Source organism: Homo sapiens, chromosome 1, assembly GCF_000001405.40.
Source record: "Homo sapiens chromosome 1, GRCh38.p14 Primary Assembly".
In the NCBI taxonomy this organism is placed as follows: domain Eukaryota; kingdom Metazoa; phylum Chordata; class Mammalia; order Primates; family Hominidae; genus Homo; species Homo sapiens.
This window is the reverse complement of record NC_000001.11, coordinates 224649321-224676688: the sequence shown is the minus strand read 5'-3', so window position 1 is coordinate 224676688 and position 27368 is coordinate 224649321. Positions and strand designations below refer to the sequence as shown.

Sequence of the window (27368 nt, the reverse complement as noted above, 5' to 3'; positions counted from 1 at the left end):
GATGAACGGCCAGACAGTTTAATTCAGCTGAATGCACAGACCAGCCTCCGTGTGTGTCCTACAATGCTCCATTGCACCCTTCAGCCCAGCAACTGACAGTACAGGTTTAACTGCTGAACTTTAGGTGAACTTTAACTGCTAAACCAACGATAAGATCATTTCATATCTCACCCGTTTTAAAAATCATTTTTACATTTAATGCAGTAAAACTCACTCTTTTTGGTGAAAAGTTCTGTGAATTTTGACAAATGCAGTCATGTGATCACCTCCAAAATCAAGACACAGAACAGTTCTATCACCCCAAAATTCCCTCCTGCAACACCCCCCCGCCATGTCTCACCCCGTCCCCTGCCCAGCAACCACTAATCTGTTCTCCATCCCTCTAGTTTTGCCTTCTCCAGAAAGTCACATAAATGGAATCACGCAGTATGTAGGCTTCTGAGCCTGCTTTCTTTTGTAAGCATATGTAAATACACGATGTGTTTAAGTTTAAGCCACACTGTTGCCTATATCAATGGTTTGTTCCCTTTTACTGCCAAGTAGTATTCCATTGTACAAACGAACTACGGTTTATTTATCTACCTGTTAAAGGATATTTGGGTTGTTTCCAGATTTTGACAATTATGAATAAAGCTGCTATAAACATCTACACAAGGCCTTTTATCTAAACATAAGTTTTCAATTTCCTTGGAGAAATAGGAGGGGGATTGCTGGTCCATGTGGTAAGTGTAGATTTAATTTATAAGAAACTGACAAAACTGTTTTCCAAAGTGGCTGCACTATTTTGCATTCCCACAAGCAACATGAGTGTTCCCATGACTCCACACCCTAGCCAGAACTAAGTCCTGTCAGTTTAGTTTTGGGGGGTTTTTTGCCTAGTTTTGGTTTTTTAGTCATTTCAGTAGGTGTGTCGAGTTATCATTACAGCTGTAATTTGCATTCCTCCAGTGACTAACGATGCTGAGCACTTTTCATGGGCTTAGCTGTCATCTGTACATCTTTTTTGATGAAATGTGTGTCCAAATCATTTTCTCTTTTAAAACAAAATTAGCTGGTTTTTTTGTTACTGATGATCTTTGAGAGTTCTTTATAAATTTTGGATACAAGTCCCTTGTCAAATATGTAATTTGCAAATATTGTCTTCTATGCTGTGGCTTGTCATTTCACTTTTGACAGTATGCTTCTCAGAGCAAAAATTTTTCATTTCAACTAGTTTATCCCATTTATCAGTTTTTCTTTTATGGATCATATTTGGGTATTCAACCTATGAACTCTTTTGAATCTAAGAACTTCTAAGATCACAGAGGTTTTCACTTACATATTTTTCTAAAACTTGAGTTTTCTCTTTAGGAAGGTTTAAACTACAAATTCAATTTATTTAATAGATTTAGGACTATTCCAGTTATCTATTTCCTATGACATGAGCTTTGGCAGTTTGTGATTTCAAGGAATTGGCCCATTTCATCGAAGTTGTCAAATCTGCAGATTTATATTCGGAGCCACCCCTATTTTTGTATTTCACCCTCCCTCATCAGGCATCTCCCCTGCTTTTTTTCTCACCAGACTTTTGAGATGGAGGTTTAAGTGATCACAGAAAATGTAAGAAAAGTTGGCAGCAAAGCAGTGGAAACAAAGCAAGAGCTATTGTTCTTCCCCAAGAGGCATAACTGAGGTCCTTGAAAGCCAGATTGCCTCTACGCTGCCTGGGGCCCGGCCCTGCCTGAAAAAGTGGGGCAAGGGTGAGGCTCTGGGGTAGAAAATTGGAGGTCTTGCAGGAGATGCAGCACCAGAGGGAGAGAGAAGGATCAAGTTATATCAGTAAGATAATGCAATATACATGGTCAAACATCAGAACTTAGTGGAGTACTAGCCTGGATGGAGGCTTCAGGAGAGACAGAGCCAGAGGAAGCCACCGAGAAGTCCAGAAAGGAGGGCAGCTACAAACAGAGAACACGCTAGAAGTGAAGCTGTTTCTATGAACACTGAACCCTATCCCTACCCACCACTAGGCTTAGGCAAGTTCAGCCCAAAAGGTGCTGCCCCAACCCTCTAGCCTATTGCCCCTCCCTGTTCCCCCAACCACAGGACCATGAAGCAACTATCCATGGAAGCTCACTGCGCGGAGCCTCACCAAGGACTACAGCAAGGTCAGTCCTGCTGGGGCCTGCCCTAAGTCTAGACTGCCTGGATTCCATCCAGCCTCAACACCAGCAGGGAAGCAGGGTGGACCCACCTCAAGAGGTGGGAAACTATAGAAACACTCTATAAAGCATCTCATGCTTCTGTCTTTGGGTCCACAGAATTTATAGTTAGGAGATTAAAAGTTATCTCACTTGTCTGAAATCATTATTTTGCTAAAAATAACCATGCTGTACTATGGCAAAAAAAAAAAAAAAAAAAAAAAAAAAAAAAAAAACCTTCCTGGAAGATGAAGAAACGATTGAAATGTCAATGTGCATTAGCTAATGAGTCCCCAGGGCTGCCCCATCAGAGAGCTTAGCATTAGGAAAGGCTGGTTTTCTCTGGGACTTTCTCTTCCCTGCATTTGCTCCTCTTATTTCTGAAGGCTCTTAAATGGTTGAGACCTCACTACCTTGCATGTGTACTGCACTATCTTATTGACATAACTTGATCTGCATAAGAACTCTTGTGAACTGGATCGGAATCTCCCCCTAGCATACAGTTCAGGAGACCAAGACCCAGTCACAGTGTTTGAATGATGTACTTTACCTTGCATGATGAATGAGGGACAACCCACACTGGACCCAGGTCTCTGAGTCTTTGACTGGTTAGTGCTCCATCCAGCACGCTGTGCTGCCCCTCTGTGACTTGAACGGGTAAAAAGAAAATGTTGGGTTACTGAAGAGGCCAAAAAAAAAAATACTGACTAGATACCCACGATGTACCTGGCACCATTTTTGGTTCTCTAGGACAGGAGTGAGAAAGAACAGAAGGTCCCTGTCATCACAGAAGTTATAATCAAGGGTAAGGGCAGAAGAGATAATTCACAAATAGATAAGAAAAGCATCAGAAAATGGCAGACTGTGTGAAGAAAATAAAACAGCTGATAGGAAGAAACAGAATCGGGAGTAGAGAGGGAAGTGATCAGGGAAGCCTCTCTGACGAGGTATCTTTCAAGCTGAGAGGACTGAATGTCCAGGAGCCAGACATGGAAAGGTCTGGGAAGAAATTTCCAGAAACGGAAATTATGCTGCAGATGCCAGAAGCAGGAAATAAGCTTGGCAGGTGTGAGGCATGGAAAGGCCTGCACAGGGGAAGCCAGAGAGTGAGACAGACAGCAGGGGGAGGGGAGGTCAAGGCTCAGGGCTGGCCAGGATCCCAACTGTGCGGGATTCATCCAACTGCAGCTCCCCAAAATAGACAGTGTGGCATGAAGCCATTTAGCCCATCTATTCCATTGGTGATGCGGCCCTTATGTGACTTGCAGGACTGTGTTTGCTGCTTGTGGTCTCTCACTCTAACAAAAGGAGTTGCATGGACATGACCGAGGGGGCCACTGCTGATACAGGTTGATCAGTGTGAAACCAGTGTCAGTTGTGCAGACTGAGGAACAGGTGCTGGGCTGACAGTTTTCAAGTCCGTTCTGAGCAGTAGCAAATTCACCCAAATGAAAACTCAATGTTCAGGGGCAATATTTAAAGAGATCATGAATCCTAGCAAGTCATACCCAGGGACTCGGAGGACAGATTTGGGTTAACCCCTCTCAGAGAGCATTTGGGCACTGGGAAAAGCTGCGCAGTTTTCTAATGAGTGGGCACATGCCCCAAACCTCCTAGAAACTCTGACTACAGGTCCAATTTTGAATAGGGACAGCTCCCTCACCCAGTTCTGTGCTCATACTCCTATTTGTATTAGGGCCACTTTGAACGGACCTTTCTCTCTTGATTTCTCCATGTTGTGTGTTGAATAGTGACCTCCAAAATTCATATCTACCTGGAACCTCAGAATGTGACCTTATTTAGAAATAGGGTCTTTGCAGGTGTAATTAGAAAAGATGGGGTCATCTTTATGAGATAGAAAAAAAGCCACACAGTGAAGGCCATGTGAAGACAGAGGCTGCAATTGGAGGGACACAGCTATCAGCCGAGGAACATCAAGGGCTACCAGGAGCCACCATTAGCTGGGAAGAGGTGAGGAAGGATTCTCCCTTAGAGCATTTGGAGGGAACATGGCCCATCTGTCTTCAGACTTCTAGCCTTCAGAACTTTGAGAGAATAAATTCCTATTGTTTTAAGCCACCCACCTGGTGGTAATTTGTTAAGGCTGCCCTAAGGAACAAATACACTCCATTTGCAAAATACCTGAAACTACTGCTGCTGTCATCTAAGATCTGGAAGGAATGGCTTTTGGTGCTACCTGAAAATGTTAGCATGAAAGATGCAAACGAGTATTTCTGACCCAAAATATACACCTCCCCAGGGAAGCAGGCTTTTATACTCCCCCCAAACCTTCCTGTAAGTCCCCCAAACCCACGCTCAGAATACAATTCTAATTTAGAGAGAATTCTGCTTTTTACTTCCTCTGTCTTGTCCCCAAAAGAGCAATGTCTTCAAACCACAGCCCAAGTTTTAGGGACCCTTTCTAAGGTCCTGTTAAAGCACAAAGAGCTCCACTGGAGAGGAAAAAAATGAGAGATGAGTGATTTTATTGGTTATAACATACATCTTATATCTAGTCCTAGTTTTATGCCTGAAACTAGTACAGCCTTGAGTCCTAAAGTCTCTCTGTACACTGATTCTAAACTGCTACATGCAAGTGTTTGCTTAGTCATCTCTGAGCCTCCAAGAAGCAAGTGGCACTGGCTCCAAACTCAAAAGCCTCTTGGGGACTCTACATGGGTACCACCCACCTGTTCAAGTCCTTGCTCAGCTCCCATCACCAAGTGGTCTAGAAAAAGACTCAGGGTCTCTCAATCCACTCCCTTTTCTAAAAAGTGTAATGCCAGATGTCATGGAGTAGTTGAAGCTTTCCAAAGTGTTTTCACATGTTTTATTTGATTTTGTGTTCATTGTATATAATATCCCAAATGATGTGACACCCACTTTGCAAATGAAGAATCAAGAAGAATGAGAGGTCGTTAGCAATGTCCAGGGCTACCTGGTTGAAGAGGGCAGTGCTGGGGCCAGTCCTCACCTTCCCCATCTCTCTTTCTTGTGCTTCCTCCATTGGGCCATGCAGTCTCACCCTCTTCTGTAAGGGGGAGTGAGGAACCTTTATTAATGCATCCATCCACATGGGGTGCCATGCAGGGCAGGACACAGCAGGCTTAGCACCAGAGTCCTGCCTTTTAAGGGCTCCCAATCAAATGAATGGTCTACTTATGCCCGTATGACCAAGAGTCTAGGAGAGGAAGTTGAACTTCCAACCAGCACAGAGCCTCTGGTTGGAGAGGCCCAGAGTCTTGCCCTAACTCCACCCCATTTCATCTCTGTATTGGTCAGGGTTCCCTAGAGAAACAGAACCAACAGGATGTGTGTAGATATATGCACAGAAAAATATCTGTTTTAAGGAATTGGCTTATGCAATGATGGAGGCTGAGAAGTCCCAATTCTGCAGAGTCAGCCAGCAGGCTGGAAACCTAGGAAGGAGCCAGTGCCATGGTTCAAGTCCAAAGGCCGTCTGCTGACAGAATTCCCTCTTGCTCGGAGGAAGTTGGTCTTTTGTTCTATCTGGACCTTCAGCTGATTGGATGAGGCCCACCTATGTTAGGGAGGGCAATCTGCTTTACCAATTTAAATATTAATCTTATCCAAAAACACCCTCACAGAAACATCCAGAATAACGTTTGGCCACATATCTAGACATCATAGCCAAGTCACATTGACATGCAAAGTTAACCACCACAAACCCCCAATACTAGGGACTGTCACAGGCTCCAGGCTGGGCCCTGGCCAGTGGGGCTTGGTGGGAAAATGGCAGAGTGATGACCAGTGGGTCCCTTTCATGTGTGAGAAGCCATCATGAGTCATGGCATCCCACATCTTGGCACACACTCATCTTAGGAAGGAAGCTGCCTTACAGCAAGTTGGGAAAAGTGTGTGACCCAGCCTCCTCCATTTAGGGATGAGGAGCCTCAGGACCAGAGAAGAAGAGGACCTGTCCTGGCACTCTCACCCTCAGAGCCTGCACAGGGTAGCTTATCATTGTCTCAAGAGCAGTGTCCACCCTCATCATGAGTGGGGACCGTCTGTGCTGTGGGCTACCCATAACAGACTCCACAAAAGGATGGGGCTGGGCAAATTCCAAAGCTGAGCCTTAAGGATAAAGAGCCCCTTAGACTCTGTAGGAGGAGAGCCGCTGGTCAGGAAAATGAGACCCAGCCCTTCTGCCACCATGCCCTCCACACCTGAGCAGCAGCCCCGAGTGTCCAGATCTTCCCATGCCACCATCTTCTAAGTCCTTGCATAGCTACATCCCTTCCTCACACCATCACAAAATGGACCACCCCGGCTCCATGCCTCTCTCTCCCTAACAGGTGCTGCCTCTTTAGAGTGAAGAGTCCTGGATCTGAAGGAGGTCTCACTTGCATCCTGACCCTGCCAGTTCCCAGCTCTGTGACCTGGAGCTTGTCACTTCACTCCTCCAGGTCATGGCTTCCTTATCCATAAAATGAGAATAATCTCTACCTCAACTGGTTGCTATGAATGCAAAATGGGGTGATACAGACTATAGCACCAGGATAGAGAGAAATGAAGACTGTTGGGTGTGGGGGTGGGGGGAATGCCATTGTGTAAAAGGCACAACAGTGTCATTGTTACACATACCATGCAAGTCGGCATGTCTCAGTTCAAATCCAAATTCTGCCTCATTTGTTTGTGTGACTATGGGCAAGGTGCTTAACCCCCTCCAAGCCTCGGTGTCCTCAAGTATAAAGAGGAGACAGTAGTGGTTCCTACTTCATATTGATACTTTGAGGATTAAATGAAATAATGTACAACAAGCACCGGGCACAATGCCTAGCACGTAAAGTTAAAACATTATCACTTTTATTTCCATAATTATTACCATGCAGTGTTCAGGCCCCACCCTCTGGTCTCACGGCTCTCCTCCCCTTTCTGGCCTTGAGCATGATCATTAGCAACACACCCTCTGAATCAGGAGAATCCAGTCACTGCAGGGGAAAGCTGGGGTAGAGGGTGTAGGTAAAAGCCATGGCAGAGCCCCTCTGAGGACTCAGGTGGATGATAAAGCCAGCATGGCCCATCCTGTTACAGGTGGAAACATGAACTTAGAGTTGCCAGGACAGAAGCTGGAGACCAGCAGGTGAGCTGAGGAGGGAGGCATCAGCTGCCCCTGGAAGAGTCCCTAGACCTGAATGATGAGTACAAATTGGGAAACACAGGACACTTTGGCTTATTTGCCATCGTGTGCCAGAATCTGCAGACACAGCTGGTTCTGACATAGCTTCCCTGGTTCCCATCTAGTTAACAGGAAACAAAGACACCCCAGAGCTGTGCAACTCTGGGACTAAAGCCAAATGAGCAGGACACCAGGCAGACCTAGCCCCAGCTGACTCGCTTCAGGTGACAGCACAGCCGTCCTCAACTCCAGCCAGCAGCCATCTGGGTCAGGGTGAAATCCAGAGAGGAGAAGGGAATGAGAAGGCCCTTTTCTGCTAACTTGTCATAGGCATAGGCCAGGCAGCCACTCTGAATAGCTCAAGCAGTGAGGGAGGGGTTGGGAAGAAGTGGGGGCAGCCTGCAGTGTGCTGGGATCTTCCCTGGGGCAGTTAGGCTAGAATCCCCCCGCTCCACCAGCCCCCTAACTCAGCCAGCCCACCAGCACTACATCTGGCCCTGCGCATGAAGCACACTGGGGCCACAGAGCCTACCCCAGGTAATCACCCCCAGCCCCAGGTTCCCCCTCCTCTCACCAAACTTGTGCGTCCTCTGGCATCCTTGGTTCTCAAACATAAGAATGCAGGAGAAATTTCTGGCTCAAATGTTTGGTGACCTTCCACACATCCTTTTGGGATCCTTGTTTTCAGCCTCCCTCCTTCTTCTGGTCCAGTGTCCTCTACTCCTTGGATACTTCTCTGACACCTAGGCCTCAAGGGTCCATGGCCAGCCTAGCCCAGCTTTGGGGGAGCATGCACCCAAGTGTGGATGTGCATCAGAAAGGCTCCCCAAAGTATCTTCCAAGAAGATCCATCATTACTCATTCCTAAAAATACTTACTAAGCATCTACCATTTGCCAGGCACTGTGGTAGCAGCTGGAGATACAACAAAAAGCAAGGCAGACAGTAGCTGGCCTCTACCAGCTGCCATTCATTTTGTGTTGACTCTGAAAACACAATAGCTTCTGGGCATGGTAGCCTATTGAGCAAGGCATCAATTGCTCACCTAAATATGGATTATTTTAATCAAACTGAAGACAGAATATGTATAAAGGAACGCAGTAATGCCAGCTGTGGCATTACTTAAAAGTTAAAACAACTTAAAAGTTGTAGGTGACCGGTTGCTTGTAGTTTGTTTTGAGACATCATCATTGATCTAAGCAAGGCCCTCTCTTACATATATAACTGTTCATTTATTCATTCATTCATTTCCTTTTATGCCATTAGCCCTTTTGCTCCATCCTTGGCAATTATTGGTTTATGTTTCATGTCTATCTTTCTGTTCCTTGTGTTCTTACAAAATGTGTATTCTGTATGTGTGCATAGATTTTAAATTTACCTAACTTGTATCCCATTCTTTCTTACCTTTTGCCCTCAGAAGTGTAGCTGCAGGGCTCCATGGGAGCGGCCACTATACTTTGTCTATCCACGCTACCAGTGAGAGACACAGACTTGACCATGTCACCTCAAATAATGCCACAAAACCCTAATGCATGTCACCTTAGGGATTGGTATGCCAATTTCTTTGTGATTTATACCTAGGAGTGGAATTGTAGTCATGGGTTTTTTTTTTTTTTATTGGACTGACTGCCCTCCTTGACTGCCCTTCAAAGTGATTACATTCCCCCAGCAGAGCCGCGGATTCTCTGTCCCACATCCCCTCAGACACTTGGCAGAATCCAGCTTTCTAGCGTTTGCAGTCTAATAGGTAAAGTGCAGTCTCTCTCTTGTTTTAATTTGCACCTCTCCAGAGATGAGTTGGAGCAACTCTTAATATAAAGCGTTAGCCTTTGGGGTTTCCTCTTCCGTTCATTGTCGCTTAGATGCTCTGACCATTTTTCAACAAGAGATCGCTGCCTTTTTCTCTTTCTGATTTGTACTGGTTGCTGGTATGTTGTAGATGTGAATCCCCTTTCAATTTTAGACATTTTAAACACCTTCTCTCATCAGTCACCTGTTGATTAATTAACTGTGGCTATGGTGTCCTTCACTGAATGAAAATCAATTGCACTCATTTTTGCCTCATATTTTTTACTTTCTGAAGTTTTATTTAAGAAGTTCTTCCTTGCCCCAAGACACAAAGATAGACTCTTACATTATTTTACATTTTCTTTATGAAATTCGAGGATTCTAATTAGCCCTCTCCTGCTGTCAGATGCCAGTATCTGGGACTGTGCCAGGTCAACTCACGAGTCAGAGTTATTTCATTCACTGAATATTTAATGAGCACTTACTATGTATGAGGCACTGTTCTGGGAGCTGCAGACAGAAGGCAAGGCATAGTCCCTGGACAGGATGACAGAAGTGGACTAAGAACTCCATGTGACAGGAGATGACAGGGGTCAGGAAAGGGCAACCTCAAGTAGAAGGAATGAAATTTCAATTTGCAAACTGCCCAGGAGGGAGAGACCACAATCTCAGCAGGCATATGTCAACCGCATGCACGTGACATGACAACCATGCAAACATTTGGGGTAGCCCAAGAGTGGAGAAGACTACCGTTGGGGGATCTAGAATTCCTTTCCTAGTCTAGAAGAATTATACTAGGACTTGAATGATAAAGCCTAAAGTTCTCAAAACCAAATGTGGAATCAACTACTAAGAAGAAACTTCTAAAATGCAGTGGTTTAGCCTCCATGTTGTACCCAATGGACAGACTCCTTCTGTATAAAGACAATCTTTGGCAGCAGTTTCCTCCAAACCTGCAGAAACCCACAAACTGGCGATTGAGGGCTGAGCCATGGCCCTTTGTAAAAACCTCCATGGGCTCCTAAGACAAGTGCCCACTCTAATGATCACCTGCAGAAAAACTCGCCCCAACCAGGAGGATACCTATGTACTTTATTAAGATTCTTCTAAATAGCACTATCCACTTTGGGAAATTTTAAGAGCCAGGCATTACAAATTTATTAAAATACTTCAATGGAAAAATAGCAACCACAGTATCAACTCAGAGCACAACCAGAGCATACAGGACATGACCCTGCTGGAACCCTTACCAGACCTGAGCCAAGGGCAGTCAGAAAGCAGGATGGATTATTTCACAGCCCATTAACACCTCACAGTACCAGCTGTCTGCATGCTCAGAGAAAGGTCCATCACCTGGGCTCATGGAAAGGGCATCATGGGGAAGTCAGGAACCTGAGTTTGGGTTCTGGCTTGGCTTTTGACTGTGTGATTTTGAACAATCCCTTTATCCCCTATGTCTCAGTGTCCTCATGTGCAAAATTAGCACATTGCATTGCATCAGTATTTCTGAACTTGGAACAGGGGTGGGAAACATTTCAGAACTCCTTGGGAAAGCTGCCAAAATACAAGGCGGCACAGACCCTGCCCTGTACCTGCTAAATCAAAACCAGAGGGTGGCTTGGCCAGGCCAGTTGAGAGTCACCTGACTGGTTAAATGTGACTTGGGGATTGTTTGCACCTCACCTGAAGCATCCCTAGCACACTAGGCTCCTCGGGAACCTACAGACAGAATCCTTGGGCTTATCACTAAACCTATCGACTCTAACCTGTAGATATCATTCCATGGTGCTGGGAAAAAGGGAGGGGGGAGGGAGGAACTGTAAATCTCTTTGCAAATACAAACATCTTCCATGTCGTAACTTAGGTCCATAAACCCTAAATCTAAAGCACAGCTTTGATCTCATAAGTGAGTCCTACCACATATAAGTAGATGCAAAGAATGCAAAGAACACATACAAAGAATCCCACTAGGTTACAAGTGCCTCGAGGATTGCAGGAGGTACTGCTCCAGGTAAGGAGACACTGTTTTGCTCATTGCTGCATTCCAAGCACCTGGATCAGGGCAAGGCACACAGTGGTTATTCAGTAAGTATCTATTGAAAGAATGAATGAGTTTACCCATCTTCATATCCTTGGCCCAGTGCTTGCAACGAATGTTAAATGAGCAAATATAAAACGTTTTAAACTTTTCAAAATGCTTTCATAAACCCTTCAGTAGTTGATCACAGTAACTCACCCAGTTCTTCATTTAGATGAAGTAGGTTACCTCCTTCTCTACACCAGACTGTCTTCCTAGTGTGCTTAAGGGCAAATTATCTCTTCACTAAAGATAAAGCCTGGGAGTATCCAGCGTACAAGAGGGCAGTTCTGAGGCCCAGTCACATGTCTATCCATCACATGGCAGGTCCCAGGATTCAGAACCTCCATCCAGACCATGCTGTCCAAGACCTACTAATTAACTAACGGAATGTATACATATTCAAGAGTGTGCAATACTCTACCTTATAAAAAATTATTTCAGATGGTTTATCAGAAATACCCAAAATAGAGAAAAATAATTGAAAATAAAAATTAGACCCAGGAAGAAATAAAGAGGTGGGAGAGAGAGAGATACCAAGACCACAAGGCCCCCGAAGAGCCAAATTCATTGGCTTGAAAATTTGGATCTAAGTTTCCCAGAATAGCCAGGGGAGGTGGTGCACACCTGTAGTCCTAGCTACTCAAGAGGCTGAGGCAGGAGAATCACTTGAGCCCAGGACTTCAAGGCTGCAGTGAACTATTATTGTGCCACTGTGCTCCAGCTTGGGCGACAGAGTGAGACCTTGTCCCTAAAACAAAATAAAAATTAAAAATAAGTTTCCCAGAAGCTGAAGTGGAAAGAGAAATCAGTTACTTAGCTGTCCTTGTCCATAAAGAAAAAGGATAGCAGTTTCTCAGGGGAAACAAACTATTCCCCAAACTCATATTTAAAAGTTATTTTCTGTACAAATTTTAACTACAATGGAGAATACTGCACCCCCATACCACACACAGCAATAGGCATTAAACTGTTTGTTGTAGCACCCCTCCATAATAACTAAGTACTGAATACAAAATATGACCCAGCAAAAATATTTGATGGAGGAGGCAAGACAATGCAATGTGGTCCAAATTTTGAATGTGCTTCAGTCATCTTCCATCAATCTATTTCACAACTAGTGAAACCAGTCCAACTGCCCATAGAACTTATGCTGATGGTTTTTTGAATACACATGGAAATTGACCCTCCCTGGTCTTAAAACTTGAAACTTAGATTTGTCTTATCTGAATTCCTTCCTCAGAAAACCGACCCTCAGGCAAGGAACTGAAACTCACTAGACCACCACATCCAGTGAGATGCCAGATCCCTCATCCATCATGATTGCTCCATACCTCTCCCTAATTCCCATTTTCCTGCATGCGGTTGCATTCCTTCCCCACTATATAAACCCCCAATTTTAGTTGGCTGAGAGGAATTGATTTAAGGCAATCTCCCATCACTCTGGCTGACATCACCCAAATAAAGCTTTCTTCCCTGGCAATATTCATTGTCTCGGTAATTGGCTTTCTGTGCAGCAAGCAACAGGACTAGACCAAACCCCTGGCATTTCAATAACAGATTTTGGTTCCTTGACCAGAAGGCCCTGTTCATGGCTCTGCAGCCATGGGCCAGGAGAGTTTCAGAAGCCCTCCTAAGCAGCTGCCTGGCTCTTTTTTGGCTGAAGGTAAATTTCGGTCTCTCTCTTTGACTCTGTCACTGTGGGCCCTACTGCATTTCTGATTGCCTATGAAGAACAGCCTTTGAAATGTGACATCTGCATCTGGATAAGTGAGTGTCTTTTATGGGTACCAGACGAGGGGAATGGCTCAATTTTGGGAATTCCAAAGAAATTTCCATTTGCAGGTTGAACAAGTGTAACCAACAGAGAGGCAAGCCCTCCAACTATTTGTTTGGACACTCTTGGGGCTTGTTAGTGATTGTTTGTGTGTATACACATCTGTGTCTGGACAAGTATGTTTTGTGGGTCCAAACAGTGACAACTGCTCCTCTCAATTTTGGGAATTCTGAAGAAATTTCCATTTGCAGGTTGAACAAGCCCAACCAAGAGAGGAAAGCACCCCAACTATTTCAGTTTGGACACTCTTGGGGCATGGTGGCTACTGCTGCAGTTGGATTGTGTATTGGTGATTGTGCATACGTCGACATAGCTGTGGGAGGTCGAGGTTCAATCCCACATTGCGGCCTGCTTGGATGCATTCTTTAGGTTGGTATGAATGTAGTTGTGGGCCCAGAGAGCAAGGGAAAGTCTACGGCCATACCCATACCACCCCGAATGGCCTGATCTCATCTCATCTTGGAAGGTCTTTGAATCATAGGACTGTCTTACAGTTGGATTCATTTTACTGTTAAATGGGAAACTGGGTCAGAGTTCCTTGTATCCAGGCTTGTATGTTGCTCATCTAAAAAGTGTCAGGACTGATTAGTATTAAGTTGGTGCAAAAGTAATTGCGGTTTTTGCCATTGCTTTCAGATGGCAAAAACCACAATTATTTTTGTGCCAACCTCATACATGATGTTCTTCTGTGGTGCTGTCTGGCCCTAGTGTTCTTTGGAGTCTGGGGAGGTTTAGCCTTTAAAAATAAAACTGCCTTGGAAACTGCTTAACCCAAAATTTTGGTTCACAGGCTTCACTGGATTACCTACCAGGGCAAAATTTAGCCACATGAACATGTTCATAAACTGGTGAGTTTGCACTACTATCTCATGGCTAGAATTCCAAGGTAAAAGCTATTGGGTCTTTGTTTATATGTGTACATATGTGTCTGGATATCATGTGTTGTCTTTACATGGTACCAAATTGGCTTATAAATAAAAAGGAACCCATAAATTAAGTATATAAGTCCAAGCCTTTTTCAAGTTCATGTGACTTAAGTAAATCCTAAACAAGCAGGCTTTAAAATTATTGGTAAGATTAAAACAGAAATGTTTTCATGTTGTCAACATATTTTTTCTGGGTTTTATATTTGTCTCTGTTAGATATTTTAAAGTGTCAGAGTTTGGCACAGAAGGTTATAAAACTATAAACCCAGCCAAAACAAAATGATCTTTGTGTGATTTTTTTTTATAAGTAAGACTAGTATCATTAGTTTAATAGAGCTGAATCTTCTGAGTTATTGGTGAAAATACCCATATATTTAAGGTTCTTGAGTGAGCACTTAATATGCACAGGTTATAAAAATAATTAACAAGGAAATAATGACTAGCTCTGTCTAATATCTCAGCTCTCATACGTAATCTAGACTGCTAAAAATGAGTGAAAGGTAAATGGTATAATTGCTATAAGTGAACTTTTTATGTAATTTAAAATCTTGAAATTATTTTGCTCACTAGATGTCTGAGTCATTTCCAATTAAGAAAGGGTTATAATATAGGCAAAACATGTTTTTGTAAAAAAATTATGGAATGTTCTTACCTATAAAATGCTAACATCTGATAGACAGTTCAGAATTACTTGCTTCCTAGATCGTCACTCAAATTTAAGGTTACTAAGAATAGGAATTCTAGCTAATATATAATTTTGGGCCACAATCACCAACACAGCCATGCTGCCACCCCACCTTCCCTGCTTCCCGCCAGCTGCCCACATCCTCCGACCTGTTCCAATAATCTGATAAAATGTGGTGGATTACTATGAAGTTCTAGGCATGCAGACATGCCTTACCGGAGGATATTAAAATGACATATCAGAAACTGGCACTGAAGTGGCACCAAGATAAAAATCCTGAGAATAAAGCAGCAGAGAGAAAATTCAAACAAGTAGCCGAGACGTGAGGTGCTGTCAGATGCTAGAAAATAAGATAGCTTAATTTATATTAAACCAGAAGGAGGATTAAATGGTAGAGGACGTGGCGGAAGTCATTTTGACAATCATTTGAGTTTGTCATCACATTTCATAACGTAGATGATGTCTTCAGGGAATTTTTTGGTGGAAGAGACCCATTTCCATTTACCTACTTTGAAAATCTATTTGAGGACTTCTTTGGGAATCAAAGGGGTCCCCAAGGGAGCAGAAGCTGAGGGATGGGTTGTTTTTCTCAGCATTCAGTAGATTTCTATACCTTGGAAGTGGATTTTCTTCTTTTGAGACAGGATTTACTTCATTCTCGTCACTAGGTCACAGGGGACTCATTCTCTTCCACATCATTTGGTGGTAGTGGGATGGGCAACTTCAAATGTGTATCAACTTCTACTGAAATGGTTAATGGCAAAAAAATTACTAAAAAAAGGATTGTCAAGAATGGTCAAGAAAGAGCAGAAGTTGAAGAAGAGGGCCAGTTAAAGTCCTTAACGATACATGGTGAGGAGCAGCAGCTGTGCTTGGATAACCAGGAATTCAATGCACACACTTAACAGAAATGTTAACCTAAACAAGCACCATTTGAGGATTAACAAAAACAGTTTTTGAAGATATCCAGTGAACTCGACTTTCAGTATAATTGTACCTAAAGTATTTATAAACAGCTTCTCAGAGCTCCTATTTGTCATAGACTTTTGAGTTTATTGTTGGGACCACAAAATAGGACTTTTTGTTTTAAAAATTGATGTAAATATCTGTATGCACTTTGCTTTTTTATTAAACATACTCCAAGGTGAGCCTTGACTCTTCAGTGGTAGGACAAGATTGTACACTAACACCAGCATGGATCTGCTTTTCCATCACGTCTGCAAATGTGAGCCAAGCAGTGTCAGCCTGTTATGACGTTAATATTGCCAGGATAAGCCTTCTATAGAAACAATTTCATTTTTTTCAGTGTTTAGTAGTGAAAGATATTAATGCGTTAATGGTAATATACTTCTGGCTTAATATAAATTAAGGATGTTTTCTACTTGTGCATAAATGCTGGCAATTTGGTAGGTCTTGACAATTGTTTAAACATGCAACGTTAAGCTTGGGTTTTAAAAAAGTAAAGCTGGTAAGCTGGGTCTTTGTCATTTGCTTTAAAACAAAGAAACGCAAATGTGTTCAGTGCATTTTTCCTGAAAAAAAAAATTGTATATAAAATGTGCCAAAGAAGATGTGTTCTTATTGAGAAAAATAATAATTTTGTTTAATTCAGAAGTTATCTGACACGGTTTGGCTGTGTCCCCAACCAAATCTCATCTTGAATTATGCTCCAATAATTCCCATGTGTTGTGGGAGGGACCCAGTGGGAGATCATTGAATTATGGGGGTGATTTCCATCACACTGTTCTCGTGGTAGTGAGTAAGTCTCACGAGATCTGATCTCTCTTTGCCTGCTGTCATCTATGTAAGATGTGACTGACTCCTTGTCTTCCACCGTGATTGTAAGGCTTCCCCAGCCACGTGGAACTGTAAGTCCAAATAAAACTCTTTCTTTTGTAAATTGCCTAGTCTCAGCTATGTCTTTATCAGCAGCATGAAAATGGACTAATACATTACCTAAAGGTTAAATTATGGACTTGGAAAGGTTATTTATGAAACAAGGTAGAAAGGAACCAGTGGTAGGGGAGAGAGATGTGAAAAAGATTGGTCTCCTGTGTTAGAAAAAATTTCCCTTAAAATATCGATTTGCTCTTAATAAAATCACAAGAGGTTTTGATTTTGATACTATACTGTTTCTTTTTGAAAACTTCTCATATTCATGTCTCAGAATGTGTCTTGCTGCTTTCAGCTTTTTTCTCCCCATGAAAAGGCCTGAGATGCTAACTCTCTCCTTCAACCTTTTTGCTAGCTCTTTTAACTTTTTTTCCTCCAGTTCTAACTACTGCAGTGGCCTGATGCTGAAATGTTTATCTGTAAGGTCTAGAAAAGCGATGTTTTCTTCCAGTATAACTTGATTCCGTACTCTTGGCTTTTCTTGATTATGTCTAAATTGTTCCATGTAACTGGCAAACTTCTCATGCTGTTCCCCTGCTCAAAGTACTCGTTTCCCGGTTTCTTCTTTCCTTTATAAGGTTCACTCATGACCCTGGACACACTCTTCCTGTATCTGATTAATTCAAGTACTCTTTTCCCATCAGGTTTGGCTTTCAGGTTATCTAAATGAGCTTCCCATAAGGAGAAGCAATCACAGTGCAAATCATCTTTGCCCTTTGGTAACTGGCCTAAGAAGCAGATTTACATTTTACTAAGAGAATTTCTATCTCATCATTATTAAGTTTTTGATTAATTAGGAAAACCAAAATTTAAAAGAATTAAGGTTTTTACATCCATGTAACTTTCTGTATTGCTTTTAAAGTCCTTGTGCTATTAAGTTACGGGGCACTGACTCCTGGGTCTGAAAAAGGCACCTACTCCTGCTACAACCTAAACACTGACACCAGTCAAAGTCTTGTCTTCAGACCCAGGAGAGGGTGACAAAACAAACTGCTTTCATGAGACGCAGGGCCAGAAATTAAAACTATTCAATCCCTCTTGGCCCAGGGACTATAGCAGAAGAGGTGGGCATGTGAGATTGCAAGGCCAATTTTGAGGAGTAAAATTAGTTCAGTCTTTCTAAAAACTAAACATTAATATCAAAAGCACACTGATGCAAGGCCAGCATCTGGGCCTCTGTGTCAGAATAACAAGATTTTCTTGAAGCATTGATCTGCTCTGATAGAAAATTATAAAAGGTTATGAAAGGTTTATGTAAACGTCAAATTGATTAAAATTAGATAAAATTGTTTATAAGGTTTTACTGAACTTAGCTTTAACATTAATAATACACTATACAGAGGTAAATTCGATTTTCTCTTTTGAACAAAATATGTAATATTAATAAGAGATAATAGGAGATTTCTGTTTACCTTTTGAGTTAGCTGCAGGAAAAAAAAAAAGAGGGGAGAGAGAGACAAGTTTAGTTGGCCCCATGCTGTCTTTGCTGTCTTATTATCTGGGAAAGTGGATTTCCTATCAAAAAGTAAAGGTCGGGATTTGGTGTTTTTTTTTTAATATCTGAATTATCATTCTGGCTAAATGAATAACTATTCCATAGTGACTATGACCCTATTTTGTGAAATCAGGTGTATTAACCTTTGATATTTGACAAATTTTCCAAAAGCAAAATTTCAAGTTTTAAATTCAGTCTTTTTGGCCAGGCACAGGGGCTCACGCCTGTAATTCCAGCACTTTGGGAGGCAGAGGCAGGCTGATTGCTTGAGCCCAGTTCAAGACCAGCTGAGCAACATGGCAAAACCTCACCTCTACAAAAAAAAAAATATAAAAATTAGCTGGGCATGGTGACACACACCTGTAGTCCCAGCTACTTGAGAGGCTAAGGTTGTAGGACTGCTTGAGCCAGGGAGGTTGAGGTTGCAGTGAGCCATGATTGTGCCACTGCACACCAGCCTGGGCAACAGGGCAAGACCTGATCTCAAAAATAAACAAATAAATACATACATTCAGTCTTTTTGACCACAAACTAATTTTTTAGCTATTAGGGTCCCTTGAATTCCAAGAGAGACATATTAGGCTTATCTGGTATGTTAACATTATATACAAAGCATTGTCATGTAGTAAATGTTTAACTTTCTTTGGGTTATATTGATATAAATGTGTTATTAATGTATATTCAAAAATCATGTGAAATTCCTAAATTTCTGATCTTAGTATATGTTATCAGTAATAATTATGATTATGTTAAATTGTTGCATGCCACAGAAATAACCAATCTTCCTTGTCAATTGTGTCTTCAACCCTGATTGTCTTAAGACTTTTGTCATCCATAATTGTTTTACTTTGATTCTTCTCAAAAAGCAGTTTATAATCAGCTACAGTCAAAAACTTGCTTCTTTAGGGGAGTTCATGAAAAGGACTCTTAAATGCAGATTTCTGACAACTTTGGAGATTGTGCCACTGGATTAGAGAGGAAACGTCCAGGACTCTCGTTGGAGGGCTGATGTGTTCATGACGATTGCTGGCCCAATATCAAGCAGAACAGGACTAATTGCATGGACTGAACTAGTAGAGGACTGAAATAATTTTTTATTATGTCTTTTATTTGAAATATTGCCGATTGTTTTTGTTTTTGTTTTCAAAGTCAAGAACACTTTTTCTTTTGGGCTATTGATAGCCTTTAACAATTGAGTAAAATAAACCCTTATCAATAAAATGTGAGGCATATTTCTCTCTCTCTCTCTCTCTCTCTCTACCCTATTTCTCCAGAATTTGAAAACTATTTGTGGTGTTCTTACTTTATGGCTTAATATATGCTTTGTATGCAAACCATAGCGGACTGGCTTTATGATGACAAGCATATTAACCTTATTTTTTGGCTTCGGGGTTTTGGCTCTTATGTTGATTTAAGGGTTAAGGACTGTGTGCTCACCTCCATTCCTGTCTGGCCTAGAATGTTTAATTGGCTATAAGAGTTGGCTATAGGTATCCTACTGAAGGACAGGATGGACCCAGGGCAGGTAGCCATACCACCCTGGCAATGATATGGGACAAAATAAAAGCTTGGCCATCAATGTTGCCTCTGGCATATCGAGACCGAAAGAGACCAAAATGAAAACAAAGCCCTAAGCCTCCCATCAACTGAATGGATCCACTTGTAGCCAAGGGGACTCCAGTTGCCAAGAGACAAATCTTGTCTAGGAAAAGGTCTTGCCTCTTGCCCTGCTGAAGATACAAGTAGCTCCCAGAAGTGGGCTGGCTCTTAGCCCCTTCGAAATGTATGGAAGACCATTTCTCCAACTCCTAACTCTAGATCACATACAAAATAATTAAGAAATATATTAACTACTGTCTCTGAGCTTGCTTCCAACAAGCTCCAGTTCCCTACAGATGCGCCTCTCCACTCTTTGAAACTGGAGGATCCAGTCTGGTTGAAGACCTGGAAATCCCAACAGGCTGAAGACCAGCCACAAGCACAGTAAGTTAGCCCTTTTGAAATGCTGCTGACCACCCACTCATCTGTCAAGTTAGCCTGCATAGATTGGGTAAAACCAGTCAGTCCCTCTGGGATCCCACTGGAGTAAAGAGTCATGGTCTTGTGAACACCGCCCCCCCGCCGCCCGCCGCCCTTATACCCAGCCAAAGATCCTAGATAAGAAATCATAAAGGGAACATGAACTTTTCCGGTCATTGTTCTCCCCTAGACCCTAGCTTTTCGCATGTGGGATGTATGAATCAGGAAGACGTTTTTGGTAGGCTTAGGATCGTTCTCTTGGATTCCCCAGTGGATTCACTCCATATTCTGGTATTTTAAAATTTGGTTTATCGATGCTGTTAATTACTTTAGTTCAATGTGGCCTCAAATGTTGTTCAAAAAGCAAAATAAAAGTACACAGATCATGGTCTTCCAGTGCGCCAGATGCAAACCAGGTACTTTGAGTATTTCCCATTATAAGTGGAATGCTTTCATTCCTTCTCATTATCCCACAACGACCTTCCTCAGCATGAAGCATCCAGGATTGATGGTCAGATTCCCCATGATTGAGGAATTGATCAATAGAAAGGGGAGGGACTGAAACTGCCCCAACTGTTCAACAGAACTGATGCTTCTGGTTTTTTGAATAAACATGGAAATTGACACTCCCGGGTCTTAACATGTGAAATTTACATTTGTCTCATCTGAGTTCCTTCCTCAGGAAACTGACCATTGGACAAGAAGCTGAAACTCACATAATCACCACATCCAGTGAGACCCCAGTCCCACAACCTTCATGTTTGCTTCCATACTGCCCCTCCCTAATTCCTGCTTTCCCATGCATAGTTACACTCCTTCCCCATTATACAAACCTCCAATTTTAGTCCGTTGAGAGAGATGTGTTTGGGACTGATCTCTCATCTTTCTGACTGATGTCACCCTAATAAAAAGGCTTCTTCCCTGGCAATACTTGTTATCCCAGTAATTGGCTTTCCATAGAGTGAGCAACGGATCCCTGGGTGTTTTGCTAACACTAGGTGTCTGGAAAGTTGGAGAACAAACAAGTGGAAGTGAGGTTCTCCAGGAAAGGCCTAGTGTTCCATGTTGCTCATTAGGAGTGGCTCCCTATAGCTTGAAGGCCCACTACACTGACAGTGACATCGACAATGACTTGTGAAAACCGAGGAGTCTAACTAGGATTCTCCCTCCTGCTTGCATGTCCATTTTCCTTCAGCCCAAAAGTTAACTGCGCTCAAAAGCCTCCATTTACCCTTCCAGATCCCTCTTCACCCTTCTCCACCCTGCCCACGGCCCTGGCAGGCTCTGAAGAATGCACCATCTGGCCTTCCTTGCCCTCTTGCTTCCCATTATATTAGGCCAACAGGAGGCATCAGCTGAAGACACAAGGATCTTATTAGGGTACTTATTGCCCAGTTCCCTTCCTGCTACTGTGGCTTCACAGTGTCTCTACCTCTCCACATGAGGCCCTAGCTCCTTCAGAAGACAGCCCCACCCACTATAGCTCCCATGAAGTTCTAGTAACAGCCTCCTCCCCTTACCCCTTCACACCCAGGGGTGGTAACAGCTTCATGGGTTGCTAGATCCTGGTGCCACATCATCCCTGTTGGTTTTTTAACCCTATACCTCCTCTGTAAATAGTCCCTTCATTAAACTTTCCTCAATTACCCCCTTTGCATGTGCGATCTGTTTTCTAATGGGACCCTAAAAGATACACGAGCCAAAGAGAGACCTGAAGGTTAGGTCAAGTTGCATTTCCTAAATACTCTGGATATATTCCAGCATGTAAAGGGACGGCCGATCAAAGTTTTCAACATTCTACACCATAGGGATTGGAATTAGTTTGGCCTAGAAAAGTTTCAAAGCAGGTACTACTTGTTACTAGTTATTAAGCAGAGGTATTTTTTATTAAAAATCTTGGTAATGCTCCTGTAGACTATCTGGCTTTGGGCAATACAGCTTCTTAATGAATTCTCCAGAGTGAATTATTTGCAAAGTGTGTCCCTAAGTAACTAAAGGAAGTGACCTGCTGTATGGAGTTATTGTGTATAGCCAATTAAATCCTGCAAGGCATTTGCTGATTCAGTTTTTAGAAACAGGCATCAACAGTGGCTAAAATCAGTGTCTACTGAGGTCACACCTAGTTTATGACCAAAGAAAGGAAGAAAAAGCTGTATATCAGCATATAGAATATCTTCTTTATTAAACAAACAAAACCCAACTCTACAGCAAGGAGGCATGCATCTGGGCTATTCAAAAGCAACTTAAAATCTTTTTTTCGTTGTTGTTGAGATGGAGTCTTGCTCTGTTGCCTAGGCTGGAGTGCAGTGGTGTGACCTTGGCTCACTGCAACCTCCACCCCCGGGTTCAAGCGATCCTCCTGCCTCAGCCTCCCAAGTAGCTGGGATTACAGGTGTGCGCCACCACAACTGGCTCATTTTTGTATTTTTAGTAGAGACAGGGGTTTCGCCATGTTGGGCAGGCTGGTCTCGAACTCCTGACCTCAGGTGATCCGCCCGCCTTGGCCTCCCAAAGTGTTGGGATTACAGACATGAGCCACTGCATCCAGCCAAATCTTTTTTTTTTTTTTTAAACAGGGTCTCACTCTGTTGTCCAGGCTGGAGCACAGTGGCACAATCACAGCTCACTGCAGCCTCGACCTCTCAGGCTCATGTGATCCTCTCGCCTCAGCCTCCCCAGTAGCTGGGTGTGGTAGTGCATGCCTGCAGTCCCAGCTAATTTTTTCATTTTTTTAATAGAGACAGGGTTTCACCATATTGCCCAGGCTGGTCTCAAACTCCTGGCTCAAGCAGTCAGCCTGCCTCGGCCTACCGAAGTGCTGGGATTACAGGTGTGCACCACTATGCCCAGCCTCAAACTCTTTAAAGGAAGAGAGGCTAAGGCCCAGCTGCCTTCCTTTGTTCAAAACAGATATAGGCCATACTGACTCTTGAGGTAGTATTAAAAAGCAACAGTAACTGAGAATTTATATTGAGTTTGTACAGCGTCACCAGTTCACAGAGTGAATACTAAAGAGAGACTGCAAAGTCTTGTATTTTCCTTAATAGATTTCTTCACAGGAGAAGTATGTAAAAAGTGATCCATAAAAATACAGAAATACCCAAAACTCCATTGCTCCTCATCGAAAACACCAGACTGAGAAACACAGATTCCAAAATTCAAGGAAGAAAAACATAAAATTTAGATGAAATGTCTAATAAACTACAGTCACTTTTTTTTTTTTTTTTGAGGTGGAGTTTCACTCTTGCTGCCCAGGCTGGAGTGCAATGGCACGATCTTGGCTCACTGCAACCTCTGCCTCCTGGGTTCAAGTGATTCTCCTACCTCAGCCTCCCAAGTAGCTGGGATTATAGGCGTGTGCCACCACGCCAGGCTAATTTTGTATTTTTAGTAGAGATGGGGTTTCACCATGTTGGTCAGGCTGGTCTCAAACTCCTGACCTCAAGTGATCCGCCTGCCTCAGCCTCCCAAAGTGCTGGGATTACAGGCATGAGCCACTACAGTCTTTTAATGATGAGGTCCTCCCAGTTTGAAAAATGAGAGCCAAAAAATGGTTGACAAGGAATATGTAGAATAATTAATAATTTATTTTAGTTGTCAAACCTAGGCTAGTGACTCACCAGGGCTGGCACAAAATGTGCCCCCTTCCTCCAGCTGGCCTTCCGGTGGCCTTCCTCCAGCTGGGAATTTCCAGTGAGTTGTGCTCCTGCTGTGTTCCCAATACCTTCACCCTCTGAACACCTGTGCAGCTAGAGCTGCTGAGACCCTCACATGTGGGCTTAGGCAGAGAGAAGAAGCCCACGTGTGCTGCGCCAACCCTCACCAGGGACAGAAACCCATTAGCAGCCTCAGCCCCACCAATTCGTGCAACCTGGATTTAGTTTTGCTTCCATGGGCTTGGTTTCTGGAAGTCCAGAAATGAGCCCTGGGCATCTGTGGAGCCCCCTTGCTGTCCTTCCTGCTCCTTCTACGTTGATGTGGTGTGTGCAGCCAGGCTACATCCCCAGCCACCCACACAGTAGAGGACTGGCTCGCCATACCTGGAACACCTATCAGGGGCCCGACGCTCCACTTAGCTCTTGCCTACCCCTCTCCTAAGGGGCCTTAAGTCCCTTCTTCTTCCCTCACTTCCTTTCTTCCTACACTAATCAACTGGCTAGAGTCCAGCTGACGGCAAGCTGATTCACTGCTTGGAACGGACACTTCTGCCAACCAAACTTTCAATAGCACTTCCCTACCGCTAGGTCTGAGTCCTGCCTGCTCAACTCATCAAACCTGTTAGCTCTTGTGCACAGACCACTCCATAGCCTGTTTGGAATGTAGCCAGGTTATACTCCCCCACCTTATGTCCAGTCCCAGTCCAGGAATGTTAAAGTTACCCCAGTTCGCCATATAGATCTGCTTGCTCCCATCTGGTCATGCCTCTGGCCAGAGGCAGCACACAGGAAAGAAGGGTCTGGGTGAAGTCACAAGGCCCATTACCTGCCATCCCTCAAAACCCAGAAATCCCAGGTCGAAATCCCAGGCCAATATTCCTGCTTTGCAAGAATATCCAACAGGTCAATAATGTTATGAAAGTTTCTCACCCTCACTGGTTGGCTAAGGAGTGTGACAAGGGTGACAAGGAGGTATCATTTTACACCTAATGGATTGAAAAAAATTTTGTGATAAGTTACTGTTGAGGAAGCAGGGAAAAAGGAGCCCCCACCCATGGCTGGTGAAAATGTGAACTGATAAAGCCTTTGGAAAGCAATCTAATAATATCTATTATTAACGAAAATACACATATCCTTCACTTAGCAATTCCCTGAGGATTTATCCCATTGAAATAGACACCACTAGGTAAGAATATATGCCCAGGTACTGTCTGAGATCACAAAAAACTAGAAACACATAAAGTCCAGTCAATAAAAGCATGATTGAATAAACAGTGACACATCTAAATCTGGAATATTACGCAGTTCTGAGTTAGACCTTTACCGATTAACTCAGAGGGACTCCATGAGCCATTATTCAGTGAGAAAAGCAAGATGCAGAGATGCAAAACCAAAATCAAGACACACTCTAAAAAGCATTAGTGTTTATGTAAGATGACACGAACACGAAGAAACAAATGAAGGATATACACCAGGTTGCTAACACCGGCAACCCTGAGAATGGAGGGGACAGTGGCTGGAGGAAAGGGTTAAGCAATGACAGCAACAAAAACTGCAACTTTTTTAAAGTGATGGTAAAGAAAACCAGAATGTGTGATGTAATCCCTTATCAACTATGTAAAATTACGTGTGTGCCCGTAAAAAGACACATGAAAGTACAGTCACCAGAACGCTAACAGAGGTGACCACTACGTAGTTTCCTTATTCCTGCACTGCACAAGTGATGTTTTTTCCCATAATCAGGAAAATACTCCCCATACTATTTTACCATTGTTTTCTTTTTTATTTCCCTGCTTTTCTAACTCTATGGTCACTACAAACTCACTACTTCCCACTAAATTAACTACATCATAGAAACTGCTGCTCACTGCACTGGGCTCGATGTTCACTGGGGCTTGGGTGTGTGTTTGTGCGTGTGTGTGTGTGTGTCCATGTCCCTCTTTCTGTTTCTCACTTTCACTCCAGCCCACCATCTACTGGAAAACTGAGCCTCCCCATGTGAACAACCACACAGAAAACTGAGGACTTGCTCCAAAAGACCCCATCAAGCCAGTGTCCACGCTGAGCACCTGGGCTCTGTACTCAGCTCATTTTCCCTTGCCCAAGGAATCCAGATCTTTACCTTGTGAGGAGCTTTGCCTGAATTCCAGCAGCAACAACAGGGGGCTCCACCAGAGACCCAAGGAGTCTTCTCCCCTGTCATCCTCTCAGGAGCTGGGTTCTGATGAATCTTTCCTGACTTTTACTCCCAAAAAGAGAGTTTATAAAGCCTCTATATCCTCGCGCACATAGAAAGCCGTTTATGAACAGCATGCCAATTTGCTAAAACAACTTTTGTTGTTGCGGGTGTTTAAATTGGAGCAGTCCTTCCCTCCACTGCCCACCCCTCCACCCCCACCAAGTTTTGCCAACACAACAGCCCCAAAGTCCCAGAGCCAAGAACAGAACTAAACACAAGGTCAGCCAGGTCAGGGGCTGCTATCCTGTGTGAGGGAACAGAGCCAGGCACTTGGCTCTGGTGTTCATTTGCACATTCTTTTACATAAATTTGCATGTTGGCCTCCAGAAGCCTTACTCCAAGTATTAATATTTAAAATCAAATTGGTTAGTTTGTGCAACCTCCAGGAAGTATGTACTCAGCCTCCCTGCTTGATCGAGTCCAGAGAAACTTGTATCCCGTGGAAAAATGCTCCTTAGGCAGAGAGCGCCCTGGCCCCATACTCCTCAGTCTTCACAGTGGAGGTTCCATCCTTAGCCTGGAATAGGTTATCCAGTCTCCCAAGCCACCCCTGAAGATGCTCCCCAGCCTCAAAAGCTAGTTAAGAGTGTGGTCACTAGTTAAGAGAATTAGTCACTTTTAGGACACTTAGGTTGTGTATAATGCAGAACTTCAGCTCTTGCACTTGACACACAACACTTCGTGCCTGAGGAAGAGCATTTTTGTAGATAATTGTGCATAACACCTACCATCCCTGAAAGCAGAAACCACAGCTTGCTATTTCTAAGTTCCTGCTATTTCAAAGACCTCTAAGATTTCTGCCATTTCAGAGACCTCTAAGATTCTGTTAAGAACAACAATTTAGTGCAGTTGTCTTTCTGCCTGGCTGTTTAAGCTTGCACACATTCTCCTCGATTTGGATTTACAACAGAGAGATTATACAAGCAGTGAAGAGCAAGCTAGATGCAAAGCAATAAAGCCATCCTCACAGGTGTAAATACTTCCCAGGCAGACCCTGCATTTGGTGGACCGGGCTGGAAAATGGATCATTTTGCAATTTACAGAGGAGGAACCGCTGGGATTTCTTTCCTCGGGCAAAGTTTTCCCCAAGTTTCTAACTATCCAAATGAAGCCAAGTAGATTTCAAAAACCACTGTAGAGAGCCCTACTTGGGGGTTAGAGTTAAATATAGAATTCATAATTCATCCAATAAATTAAACTGAGCACCTATTGTGTAACAGGCTCTGTGCTGGAAATTAGGTATACATTATAGTATTAGTTCCTACTGCTGCTATAATAAATTACCACAAATTTAGTAATTCAAAGCAACACAGTTTATTATCCTACAGTTCTAGAGGTCAGAAGTCCAAAATGGGTCTTGGAGGGCTAAAATCAAGGTGTCAGCAGGGCTTACTTCCTTCTGGAAGCCCTAGGGCAGAAGCCATTTCCTTGCCT

General features: G+C 43.2%; 1 protein-coding gene and 1 pseudogene across 16 annotated transcripts in view; one reads left to right on the top strand and one right to left on the bottom strand.

The window, feature by feature from the left end:
• CNIH3 (cornichon family AMPA receptor auxiliary protein 3) overlaps positions 1-27368 on the bottom strand; it is a 305915-nt gene that overhangs the window by 63866 nt on the left and 214681 nt on the right. The gene's annotated exons all lie outside the window — the stretch shown is intronic.
• DNAJB6P6 (DNAJB6 pseudogene 6) lies at positions 14802-15544 on the top strand (annotated as a pseudogene).